Here is a 12,285-nt window from a genome sequence, read left to right on the forward strand (position 1 = left end):
CCCCAAGGTGGCTAAAGGCTCTAGGGTGACTCTTCCTGGACTCAGACATAATGTGATTCATAAATACCACAGACAATTGCAAAGTGCAGGAGAGGAACTGAAAGTCCTCAGGATGTCTAGGGCATCAACGTGCTCTGAACCTTGAAATAACTCTTCCGGCATGCTCCTAACAGAGCCCGGATATTGCAGGGTGGAGACCTTGTTTTGCTGTAAATTCCGTTTGGCCCTTTTCATGAAAGTCAGTCCTTAAAAACTTCAAAATCTCCAGGTAAGCACTGTTTCCTGGGAGAGACAGTGCTCAAGGAGAATTGCTATCTTTAAAATTGTGCCTCAGGAAGTGAAGACACCCTGTGGAGAAGCAGTTGGTGCTGTCACACCGTCTGGTCCACTTGCCAAACACCCTCCTCCATCACTAGTTCTGTTTTTTTACGAGGGTGTGAGCCAGAAGACAGCAGCCTTGCCGGAAGGCAGAGTTTGTGGTCAGACCGTGTCTACAGCACCTCATTTCATCCTTCCCACCACCTGGTGAGATAGAAACCTTTATAAAGGAAGAAAATGAAGGTCAGAGTGGTAAAGTGATTTTTCAGCTTAAATGTGGCAGAACCAGGATTTGAACTTAGAACTACCTGACTCCAAAGCCCTTGGTTGTTAGATTGTCCCTCCAATTCTTTCTTAGGAGTCACAGTGGGTTTTTATCTTTCAGAGTCAGAACAGTAAAATCCTCGAAGACTCGAGGCTCTCTAATTCAATTTCCTACCCAGGGTAGGAATCTCTAACTTCACTGAAAGATATAACTCATTCGTGTGTCCTGCACAAGCTTCTCCCATGACAGGGACTCATCCCTGCTTGAGGCAGTACATTCACCATGGAACAACTCGGATCATTTGAAGTTCATCTCATGCCAAGCACAGATTTTCCTTCTTTGGAGCCTGCCCTGTTGTTCCCAACTCTGTCCTTGGAGTTTAGTTCCTCTGTCACCAGGACAGACCAGCAGAGACAGTGCCTGCCCCCTGACTGACCTCCGATCTGGAATGTATCACCCCAGAGTCAGGGAAGAGGATGGGCAAGAAAGCTGGAGAAAGAATGGTAGACAGGGACAAACAAAACTCTCCCCCTCACTCCTCAAAGGGCCTCTCTTAGAGGCCCCTTTCTATCCAGGAACCCAGAGTTGTCCCACACACGGGTCCCAAGCAAAGCACAATTCTCCTAGATAACAGCCCTACGAACAGTAAGCATATCTCAAATGAGAAAATAATGTTTAATTAAAGTAACTAAAGAACTAAAAAGCCCTACATACTCAATGTAAAAAATGTGAAAAGGACAAGAGAAATGAAAAGAGAAAGAAGTCATGAGTAATCCAGTGTCTAAGCTTGGATTCACCAGGAGACTCTGAGATGAGGATTTGATGGCAAGTAGTTTATGTGGAAAGTGATCCCAAAAATCACTGGTAGAGGATAAGAAAGTGAGACAGGGAGAGAAAGAAGCCAACAATGGGTGTATTACCAAGCAAATTACACCAGAGGTAACTGGAGCTTAAACTCTGCCAGCCAGTGTAGAATGTACTCCTCAGGGTTATCCCACCTGACGGCCAGGAAGCTGGATATTTAGCTAACAATTTCTGTCAGTCATCGGTCATGGGCTGGTGGGGTAAGGAAGGTATTGATTATCCTGCACTATTGACTTGCCAGTGTGTCCACAGAGCCTGTTCTGGGCCCAAGAAACCCCTCAGACAAAGAGGTAACAGCTGTTTGCAATAGAAACTTTGGCCAGGATAGCCAAGGCGGGCAGATTGCTTGAGCCTAAGAGTTGGAGACAACCTTGGGCAACATGGTGAAACCCAGTCTGTAAAAAGAAATATTAAAATTAGCTCGGTGTGGTGGCACATGCCTGTAGTCCCAGCTACTCAACAGGCTGAGGCAGGAGGATCACTTGAGCCCGGAAGGTTGAGGTTGCAGTGAGCCATGATGGTGCCACTGTACTCCAGCCTGGGTGGTAGAGTGAGATCCTGTCTCAGAAAAGAAAAAAAAAAAGAAGGAAACTTTGGCTAGAGTATCAGAATATTCCACAATGATAAGATCCAAGGGGCCCCAGACAGGACATCCACATCCTGAACTATACCCAGAGACAGCCTGTTAGTTGGTGTATCTCCATCAACCTTGCATGTGTACATGTGTATAGTTATGCATATATGTATACTTATTTAGTTAAATTGGGGTTATGCCATGTAATTAGTAGTGTGTCCTGCTCTTTTCAATTAATATTATCAATAAGTTCATAAAGATTTATCCATTATCTTAGATATTAAAATCTAGGCTGGGCGTGGTAGCTTACGCCTGTAATCCCAGCACTTTAGGAGGCCGAGGCGGGCGGATCACGAGGTCAGGAGATCGAGACCATCCTGGCTAACACGGTGAAACCCTGTCTCTATTAAAATTACAAAAAATTAGCCGGGCGTGGTGGCGGGTGCTTGTAGTCCCAGCTACTCGGGAGGCTGAGGCAGGAGAATGGCATGAACCTGGGAGGCGGAGCTTGCAGTGAGCCAAGATTGCACCACTGCACTCCAGCCGGGGCGACAGAGTGAGACTCCATCTCAAAAAACAAAACAAAACATATTAAAATCTAAAAGATCTGAAAACATTTTTTTTTGAGACAGGGTCTTGCTCTGTCACCTAGGCTGGAGTGCAGTGGCACCATCATGTCTCACTGCAGCCTCCACCTCCCGGGCTCCAGCAACCCTCTCGCCTCAGCCTCCTGAGTAGCTGAGACTACAGGCATGTGGTCACCATGACAGGCTAATTTTTGTATTTTTTGTAGAAATGGGGTTTCACCATGTTGCCCAGGCTGGTCTTGAATTCCTGGACTCAAGTGATCGGCCCACCTTGTCATCCCAAAGTGCTGAGATTACAGGTATGAGCCACATCGCCCTGCCTGAAAACATCTATATCATTAATAAGGTCTCTATATATGCTATACTGTTCCATTGCAGAGATGTCCAATAATTTATTTAGCCATGGGAAGGCAGACTCTTCAAAGCTCTCAGGTGTTTTGGTTGAGTGAAATTAGCCATTAACTAACAGGGAGCGAAATCCTGCAGAAGTGGCAAGGGCAGGTGTCTGGGGCCAGAGTCAGGGAAGAAAATGGGCAGGAGAGCTAGAGAAGAAAGGGTAGGCAAGGACAAAGCCTGATGCCACCTATACCTTCTCATTGGGAGAGTGTTCCATAACACCTGACACATAGTAGGTACCAAAGGATATTTACCAACTGCCTACCACATGCCAGGGCCTAGACAATGGGAGGATAAGGCTGATTAAACATGGTCTTGGCCGGACACGGTAGCTCACGCCTGTAATCCCAGCACTTTGGGAGGTCAAGGGCGGGGGAATCACTTGAGGTCTGAAATCCCGCCTACCAGGGAGGCTGAGGCAGGAGAATCAAGACTCTGTCTCAAAACAAAAAAAAAAACAAACAAAAAAAAACATATTTGGTCTCTGCCCCTGGTTCCTGAGTTGAAGCTCCTAAAGCCCTTGTAGATAGAGATGCTAGGAGCATCATTTGTTCTAAAATTTGGTCTCTGAACCCCGAGTTCCTGACGCAGAGCTCCTAAATTCCTTATAATTTCCTGGGTGATAGGAGCATCTTTTGTTCTAATGAGATGACTCATGGTGGGCTCCTGGAGAGCCTTAGGATGGGGGCTGGTTGCCGGGGAAACCAACCATGTGATTAGAGCACTGGAACTTACAGCCCCACCTCACTCCAACCTCCAGGGAGGGGAGAGGGCCCAGAGGTTGAGTTGATCACCAATGGTAATCAATCATGCCTATGTAATGAAGCCTCCATAAAATCCCGAAGACAGGGTTTAGAGAACTTCTGGATTGCTGAACACGTGGAGGTCCCTGGAGGGTTGTGTGATTGGAGACCAGATGGAAGCTCCACGCCCCTCCCTTATACCTTGCCTTATGTATCTCTTCCATCTGGCCATTCAACTGTATCCTTTGTAATATCCTTCCTAATCAACTGGTAAACATAAGTGTTTTTTTGAGTTCAGTGAGCTGTCCTAGCAAATTAATCAACCCCAAGGAAGGGGCAATGGGCACACTGATTTATAGCTGGTGGGTCAGAAGTATAGGTGACAACCTACTACTTGCAATTGGTATGGGAGGGCAGGAGGGAGTCTTGTGGGACTGAGCCCGTAACCTGTGGGAGCTGACACTATTTGCCTAGAGATGGTTCCAGAATTGATGGTGTCTGCTGGAGAATTGCTTGACGTGTGGGGAAAACCCCCCCATACATCTGGTGTCAGAAGTGTTGTGTTGAGTGTTGTGGGAGGAAAAAAGGAAGCTGTTTCTTCCTTCAGACCAGGTGACCAAGGCCTGACTTGGGGCCAGAGGCAGTGAGGTTGGAGGGTGAGGGACCAGCAGTGGAGGTATTTGAGACATGGAGTTGACACTGACGTTGTCAGCAGAACCATGGAGGTTGGGTCAGAAGTTACCTGAGGCTTGCCTGGGCACGGTTGGCTCATGCTTGTAATCCCAACATTTTGGGAGGTTGAGGTGAGAGGATTGCTTGAGGCCAGAAGTTTGAGACCAGCCTGGACAACATAGCAAAACCTGGTCTCTATTTTCTTTTTTTTAAAAAAAGAGGCGGGGGTGAGTGGGAGGGGGTGCCAGCATGGTGGCTCATGCCTGTAATCTCAGCACTTTGGGAGGCCAAAATGAGTAGATTGCTTGAGCTCAAGAATTTAAGACCAGCCTGGGCAACATGGCAAAACCCCATCTCTTCAAAAAATACAAAAACATAGCTGGGCGTGGTGGCACATGCCTGTGGTCCCAGCCATTTGGGAGGCTGAGGTGGGAGGATTGCTTGAGCCCAGGAGGTTGAGGATGCAGTGAGCCTAGATGGCAACACTGCAGTTCAATCTGGGTGACAGAGCAAGAACTTGTCTTAAAACAAAAAGAAAAGAAATTACCTAAGGCTGGAAGGAGAGCTGGCTTTTAACTAAGGCCTACTATATGTGTCTTGATTCTTAAGAAACAGCAGTATGGGGGGGTCCCCTAAGACCATCTCCAGGTCCCTGGGGTGGGAGCAGGTGAGGAAAGTAGGGAGGGAAGGAGATGGTGCTGCTGAGCGGGGTCAGGTATGAGTCCTTGGTGGTGAGTCCTTGGCATATAGTTGGTGCACTTTCTTTCCCATGCTGAAGCATAGAAAGCTTGTTTAAGACAAGTAGGGACAAAACAAAAGTCAAAGCTGATTCCTACAACACAACACTAATTTTTTTTTTTTTTTGAGATGGAGTCTTGCTCTGTCACCCAAGCTGGAGTGCAGTGGCACGATCTCGGCTCACTGCAACCTCCGCCTCCCGAGTTCAAGTGATTCTCGTGCCTCAGCCTCCCGAGTAGGTGAGATTACAGATTACAGGAGCCCACTACCACATCCAGCTAAGTTTTGTATTTTTAGTGTTTAGACCATGTTGACCAGGCCGGTCTTGAATCCTGACCCTAAGTGATCTGCCCGCCTCGGCCTCCCAAATTGCTGGGATTACAGGCATGGGCCACTATGCCTGGCCTAAAATTTTTTTTAAATATTTTTATTCTGTACATTTTCTTCCCAGCAGGCTCATTCTAGCCTAGCTACAACACTTTTATAACATCTGTCTCCCAAGTCCCTTCCTGACTCTCAGCTCCCATGTGGTCTTCTCTTCCCAGCATTGGCGCTCTCATAGGCCTGTCCGTAGCAGCAGTGGTTCTTCTCGCCTTCATTGTTACCGCCTGTGTGCTCTGCTACCTGTTCATCAGCTCTAAGCCCCACACAAAGTTGGACCTGGGCTTGAGCTTACAGACAGCAGGTAAGGAAGTTGCCAGGTGATGTCCTTGTATTCGGTAGACTAGCACCTTTTCAAGGGGGGAGAAATGTAGAAATGATGTTTGGAACATTTGCCTCATGACTATTCCTGGAATATGCAGAAGCAGCGGCACATTTTTCTGGAGATTCGTGATCTAAACATTTCCATCCTAAACTCTTCATGTTTACATTGTTTGTCAAAATAATTTAATGTAGACAACACTCCATTTGTCACACAAAGATTAATCCATGTTGTGGATTGTTTAAGATGATGTTTTAATTTTAGCCTTGGGGAATGCAAACTGATTTTAATATTAACCCAAACAAAATAGAATTAATTTTTAAAATCTGCTGCTTCCAAACTCATAATTTATCAGAAACGAAATACAAGCGCTTTTATTGTGTGTATGCGTTTTTTTAAATAATCTGATGTTCCAGACTACCCATTTCTTCATTAGTATAGGTTATCAAGTGCCTCTAAGGGGCCAAAAATAAAGTGTTGCTTTTTCACAAGCCTTTTTTGCACACATTTTGACAACATCCTGAAAGATATTATGAAAGATACAAGTCTCTGGGCTAGGCGCGGTGGCTCACGCCTGTAATCCCAGCACTTTGGGAGGCCGAGGCAGGCGGATCATGAGGTCAGGAGTTCAAGACCAGCATGACCAACATGGTGAAACCCTGTCTCTACTAAAAATACAAAAATTAGCCAGGCATGGTGGCAGGCGCCTATAATCCCAGCTACTCAGGAGGCTGAGGCAGGAGAATCGCTTGAACCTGGGAGATGGAGGTTGCAGTGAGCCGAGATGGCGCCATTGCACTCCAGCCTGGGCGACAGAGTGAGACTGTCTCAGAAAGAAAGAAAGAAAGAAAGAGAGAAAGAGAGAGAGAGAGAGGGAGGGAGGGAGGGAAGGAGGGAGTAAGGAAGGGAGAGAAAGAGAAAGGAAGGAAGGAAGGGAGGAAGGAAGTCTCTATTGGCAAAAGATCTTTCAGTATAGTTTGGTAGCCAATGCTCAAAATAGGTATTATTAAATCCATTTTACAGATGAGAAAAGCAAGACTGAAAGAGTTTTGATGACTTGCTTAAGGTGTCATAGCTAATAAGTGGTGGGCTGAAATACAGCTCACATCTGTCTGCCTCGAGTCACCATACTGGGTATGTGCAAGTATATAACTAAGCACAAAATTGTTTGATACAAAGTGTAGGGAAGATTTCAAACAGGGAAGGATACTTGAGTTAGTGTTGAGTTTAGTGAAGAAGTTGCTAAGGCAAAAAAAAAGGAGAAAGGCTGTCCCAGCATAGGGTAAGTAGTGGGTACATGTGTGTGGACCGGACTGAGTGAGCCCTCTGCAGTGACAGGGTCATTCACACTGGGCACCACAGGGAATAAGGCCAGGCAGCCTGGGGGAGAAATTTAAGCTAAGCAAAAGAAGTAAGGGTGACAGCCGGTTGTAGTGGCTCATGCCTGTAATCCCAGCACTTTGGGAGGCCAAGGGAGGTGGATCACCTGAGGTCAGGAGTTCAAGACCAGCCTGGCCAACATGGCAAAACCCTGTCTCTACTAAAAATACAAAATTAGCTGGGTGTGGTGGCAGGCACCTGTAATCCCAGCTACTCGGGAGGCTGAGGCAGGAGAATCGCTTGAACCCGGGAGGCGGAGGTTGCAGCAAGCCAAGATTGTGCCATTGCACTCCAGCCTGGGAGACAGAGCAAGACCGTGTCTCAGAAAAAAGTGGGGCCGGGTGCAGTGGCTCATGCCTGTAATCCCAGCACTTTGGGAGGCCAGGGCGGGCGGATCACAAGATCAGGAGATCGAGACCATCCTGGCTAATGCGGTGAAAACATGTCTCTACTAAAAATACAAAAAATTAGCTGGGCTTGGTGGTGGGCGCCTGTAGTCCCAGCTACTCAGGAGGCTGAGGCAGGAGAATGGCGTGAACCCGGGAGGCGGAGCTTGCAGTGAGCAGAAATTGCGCCACTGCACTCCAGCCTGGGCAACAGAGCAAGACTCTGTCTCCAAAAAAAAAAAAAAAAAGAAGAAGAAGAAGAAGTAAGGGTGACAGGAGGCATCGGGGAGGTAGAAGGGGCAAGGTGGGTAGTAGCTAAGTCTCAGAGAAAGAGAGGGCTGAATGCCATCATTTGTAAACACGAATTTTCCAAGTTAACAATAAAAATACAACAAGCAACAGCACAAGAACCCTTCTCAGATCCTGATGACTGTGAATAATCCAGCTGTGACTGAGCAGCAAAAAGCAGGAGGGGTCACTTTTGAGGGTGGAAGGATTCAGCTGGCTCCTCTTGGAGTGAGAAAGACCTGAGAGGCAGTGGCAGGGGAAAAGAAAAACGTCTGCACATAGAACCAGCCTGGTGGAGACCAGAGACAACTGAGGCTTCAACGTTTTGTTTTGTTTTGTTTTGTTTTGTTTGAGACAAGGTCTCACTCCAGTTGCCCAGGCTGGAATGCAGTGGCGTAATCATGGCTCACTGCAGCCTTGCACTCCGGGGCTCAGGTGATTCTCCCACCTCATTCTCCTGAATAGCAGGACTACAGGTGCGTAGCACCACACCTGGCTAATTTTTTGTATTTTTAGTAGAGATGGAGTTTCACCGTCCTGCTCAGGCTAGTCTCAAACTCCTGGCCTCAAGCAATCCACCTGCCTTGGCCTCCCAAAGTGCTGGGATTACAGGTGTGAGCCACCACACCCAGCTGGTTTCAACTTTTATAGAGGTCAATGAAAGACATAAAAGAACCTGACTATATGGGAGATATGGCACATATGTGGATAGAAAGGCTCAATATCATAGAAATGCCAGTTCTTCCTAAATTAACCTATACATAAAAATAAATAAAAATGTTTCATGGAATTTGTCAAATTAATTCTAAAGTTAATCTAGAGGCATACAGGTGCAAGAATGAACAACACAATTTTGGAAAACAAAGAAGAGGAGGGACTTGCTCTATCAGGCAGCAGGACATTTTTTAAAATAAAGGATTTCTGTTTAAAAATATAAGTTTTGTGATATTGGCACAGAAATTGACAAATAGAATTGGGCAATGCAGTGGTTTTAAACTGAGTACAAATTTGTTCCCCTAGGACAATTGGCAATGTATGTAAACATTTTTGGTTGTCACATTCGGGGAAGGGATACTATTGATAACTATTGGTAGAGGCCAGGGATGCTGTTTAACAGCCTACAATAAAGAGGACAGTACCTCACAACAAAGAATTATCTGGCCCAAAATGTCAATAGTACCAGTTGAGAAACCCTAGAGTAGAGAATAGAGTACTAAAGTTGAAAAACCTAGAATAGAAAGAGTCCAGAAACAGACTAATAAAAATATAGGAATTTGTATAAAATGTATAATTTTCTAAAAAATAAAGGAAAAGATTGGCAAATGTCCCTACATCAAGTACAAATAATATGACACTGTATGTGAAGTTAAAAAACAAATGATGGGCTGCAAAGATATTATATTACATTAAATATCTATACACACACACACACACACACACACACACACACACACAATTAGTCCTCATATTCTCCAATTCTGTATTTGCAAATTTCCCTACTTGCTAAAATTTACTTGTAACGTCAGCATCAATACTCAAGGCAATTCTGAGGTCATTTGTAAATGTGGGCACACACAGAGTAGCAAAAAATTTGATTTACACATGTATCCTAGGTGATATTGAATAAGGTATGCTCTGCCTTCTCTTTGCAGCTCTCATGGTACAAGCAAGTGTCTTTTTCTCAGTCTATTTAGTGCCATGGTTTTTGTATTTTTTTATTTTTAATGGGTGATTTCACTGTTTTGTTTTGGTTTATTTTTATTTTCATTTTTTGAGATGGAGTCTTGCTCTGTCGCCCAGGCTAGAGTGCGGTGGTGCGATCTCAGCTCACTGCCACTTCCGTCTCCCAGGTTCAAGCAATTCTCCTGCCTCAGCCTCTCAAGTAGCTGAGACTACAGGCACCCAACATCATGCCCAGCTAATTTTTTTTTGTATTTTTAGTAGACACAGAGTTTCGTTATATTGGCCAGGCTGGTCTTGAATTACTGAACTTAGGTGATATGCCTGCCTTGGCCTCCCAAAGTGCTGGGATTACAGGTGTGAGCCACTGTACCTGGCCTGTTTTTGTTTGTTTTAGAGACATGAGTTTTAGGTTATAGTGCTGTTGGCCATGAGTTCAATGTTAATGAATCAATAACATATTAAATAAGGTCACTTTAAACAGAAACACACATAGAAAAACAAAGTTACATATTGATCAGTTGACAAAAATGTGACCAGAGGCTCACAGGAACATAACCTTGTATTTCCCCTAGGAGCAATAATTCAGTATTTGTTAATTTAGTGTTTGCTGTGACTTTGTAGAATATAACTACCGTGAATAATGAGAATCAACTGTATATAAAACAAGGCAGTATTGATATAAGTACACCTTAAAAGATAAGAAAAATGTAATTTGTTAAAAAAGAAATGCAAATGCCCAATGCACAGGAAAAGATGCTCAACATTACTAATAATCAGGGGAATGCAATTCAAAAATGATACATCCAGGCCAGGCACTGTGGCTCACACCTATAATCTCAGCACTTAGGGAGGTGGAGGCGGGCAGATCACTTGAGGTCAGAAGTTCGAGACCAGCCTGGCCAACATGGTGAAACCCATCCCTACAAAAAATACAAAAATTAGCCAGACATAGTGGCACATGCCTGTAGATCCAGCTACCTGGGGAGCTAAAGTGGGAGGATTGCTTGAGGCCAGGAGGTGGAGACTGCAGTGAGCCAGGATCGGCCACTGCACTCCAGCCTGGGCGACAGATCAAGACCCTGTCTCAAAAAAAAAAAGAAAAAAAGAAAAATCTTTATTAAAAAAAAAAAATTACATTGGCAAATTGGCAAAAGCCCAAAAATGTATCATATTAAAAGTGAGAAGGTTGGAAGGTTGGGATGGGGGAAGCAGGTACTCTCATATACTGCTGGTAAGAGTATGCATTGGTACGACCACTTTACAGAGAATTTTGGCAATATCTATTTAAATAATATATATAATTATATATTAATATATCATATAATTATATATTAACATATCTAATATATAATTATATATAATATATTTCATTATTACATAATTAATTATCAATATTATATAATTGTTAGTTTTATATATATACCCTGTTACTCAGTAATTCTACTTCTAATTAGCTGCCTTAAATAGTTGCATTAGGAGAGGCTTTGTAAAGACAGACATCTTAAGAACCTGTCATATTGGAAACTAAATGTCCATAGGTAGAGGAATGGATCATAAACTGTGGTATAATAGAATAATTAAATATTGATACAATATAGGCAAAAGGAATGAACTAGCTCTAAATGTACCATATTATTTGCTCTTTATGGTAACTGGGTAGGGTATAGATCATGCTATTACTTTCATTTTACAGATGAGGAAACTGAGACCCAAAGTCACCGAATGAGTGACAGAGCCAACTCTCCCCTTCACCCTCCTTCCTCTCCTTATCCCTGTTGCTGTGAAAGGGGCATCCCTACAATGTGCCAGACACTGTTTGAAATTTCACACACACCATCTCCTCTAATCTTTCCAGCTATCCCAGTGAGGTAGGTCTCATTATAACCCAGTTTACAGATGCAAAAATCAGGTCTCAGAGAGCTTAGATGATTTGCACAAGGGTCATACATAGCTTGTGATTGTGGAGCTGGAAATCAAACACGTGTCTTTCTGCCTCCAAAGTCCTGCTCTTTCCATCCTCCTAGAGCAGGACTGTGGGATGTTCTGGCTTGTGCTCTGTGCTCCTAGTCTCACCCCACCCTACCCATCCCCTAATTCCTACTTTTCTGGCTCAAGCGGAATACAGTTCATCCCTCGGCCCTGTGAATGGAAACCATCCTCCTGCTTTTCACTGCTCAGCCACCAGCTGAATTATTCAGTCACGAGAATTTGAGACAGCATGTCCTCTTGATTTTTGTTTCTTATTTTTAAGAAGAAAAGTGCATTGCCTGACCTTTTACTAAATAACAGCTTTAGGCTCTCTCTGCTTTTTGCTCAAACTCAGCTCTTAGTTCCTACCCTTCTTCTTCATTAAGTGTTGGCCTCTCCTTCCCTCTGCACCCAAAGCATCAACCCAGGAGCTTCCTTCTGCATCTGAGATGGTTACAGGCCCACTCTCTTACATTCATCAGAGCTTTACTGTTGATAGACTTTCATTTCTGTTTGCTCTCTTGCGCTTCAATAGGACATGGAGAGAGGTCTTTACCCCCATTTTATAGCAGAGGAAACCAAGGCTCAGCCAAGGGAAATGAACTAAGTCCACATAGCCAGTGAGCATGTGTCACTGCGATGTCAACCCAGATCTCCCAGACTCTAAAGCCTATGATTGCACTGTCCCTTGGGTTCCTTAGCTCTGAGTATGGAGGCAAG

At 44.5% G+C, this 12,285-nt stretch overlaps 1 protein-coding gene across 11 annotated transcripts in view, besides 2 other annotated features; it reads left to right on the plus strand.

The window, feature by feature from the left end:
* SHISAL2A (shisa like 2A) overlaps positions 1 to 12,285 on the plus strand; it is a 36,896-nt gene that overhangs the window by 4,373 nt on the left and 20,238 nt on the right. For 7 of the 11 annotated variants that reach the window (XR_007059587.1, XR_946637.2, XR_946639.3 and 4 more), the window contains exon 2: positions 5,703 to 5,842. Coding sequence is in view for 3 of the 11 variants with exons in the window: in XM_011541377.3 (XP_011539679.1) it covers positions 5,703 to 5,842 (140 nt within the window). In the remaining 8 variants the exon portion in view is untranslated. Of the gene's footprint in view, positions 1 to 2,814; positions 2,908 to 5,702; positions 5,843 to 11,290; positions 11,466 to 12,285 lie in introns of all 11 variants that reach the window. The other 4 variants (XR_946635.3, XR_946636.3, XM_011541378.3 and 1 more) reach the window with 2 other exon arrangements.
* Positions 207 to 366: an enhancer, noted in NCBI's record as "active region_1034". NCBI's record gives its function as "activates an Ori minimal core promoter by ATAC-STARR-seq in GM12878 lymphoblastoid cells {active_cell/tissue: GM12878}" and the evidence as "EXISTENCE:reporter gene assay evidence [ECO:0000049][PMID:35858748]".
* Positions 4,330 to 4,379: an enhancer, noted in NCBI's record as "active region_1035". NCBI's record gives its function as "activates an Ori minimal core promoter by ATAC-STARR-seq in GM12878 lymphoblastoid cells {active_cell/tissue: GM12878}" and the evidence as "EXISTENCE:reporter gene assay evidence [ECO:0000049][PMID:35858748]".

The sequence above is a fragment of the Homo sapiens genome, chromosome 1 (assembly GCF_000001405.40).
Source record: "Homo sapiens chromosome 1, GRCh38.p14 Primary Assembly".
Lineage (NCBI taxonomy): Eukaryota > Metazoa > Chordata > Mammalia > Primates > Hominidae > Homo > Homo sapiens.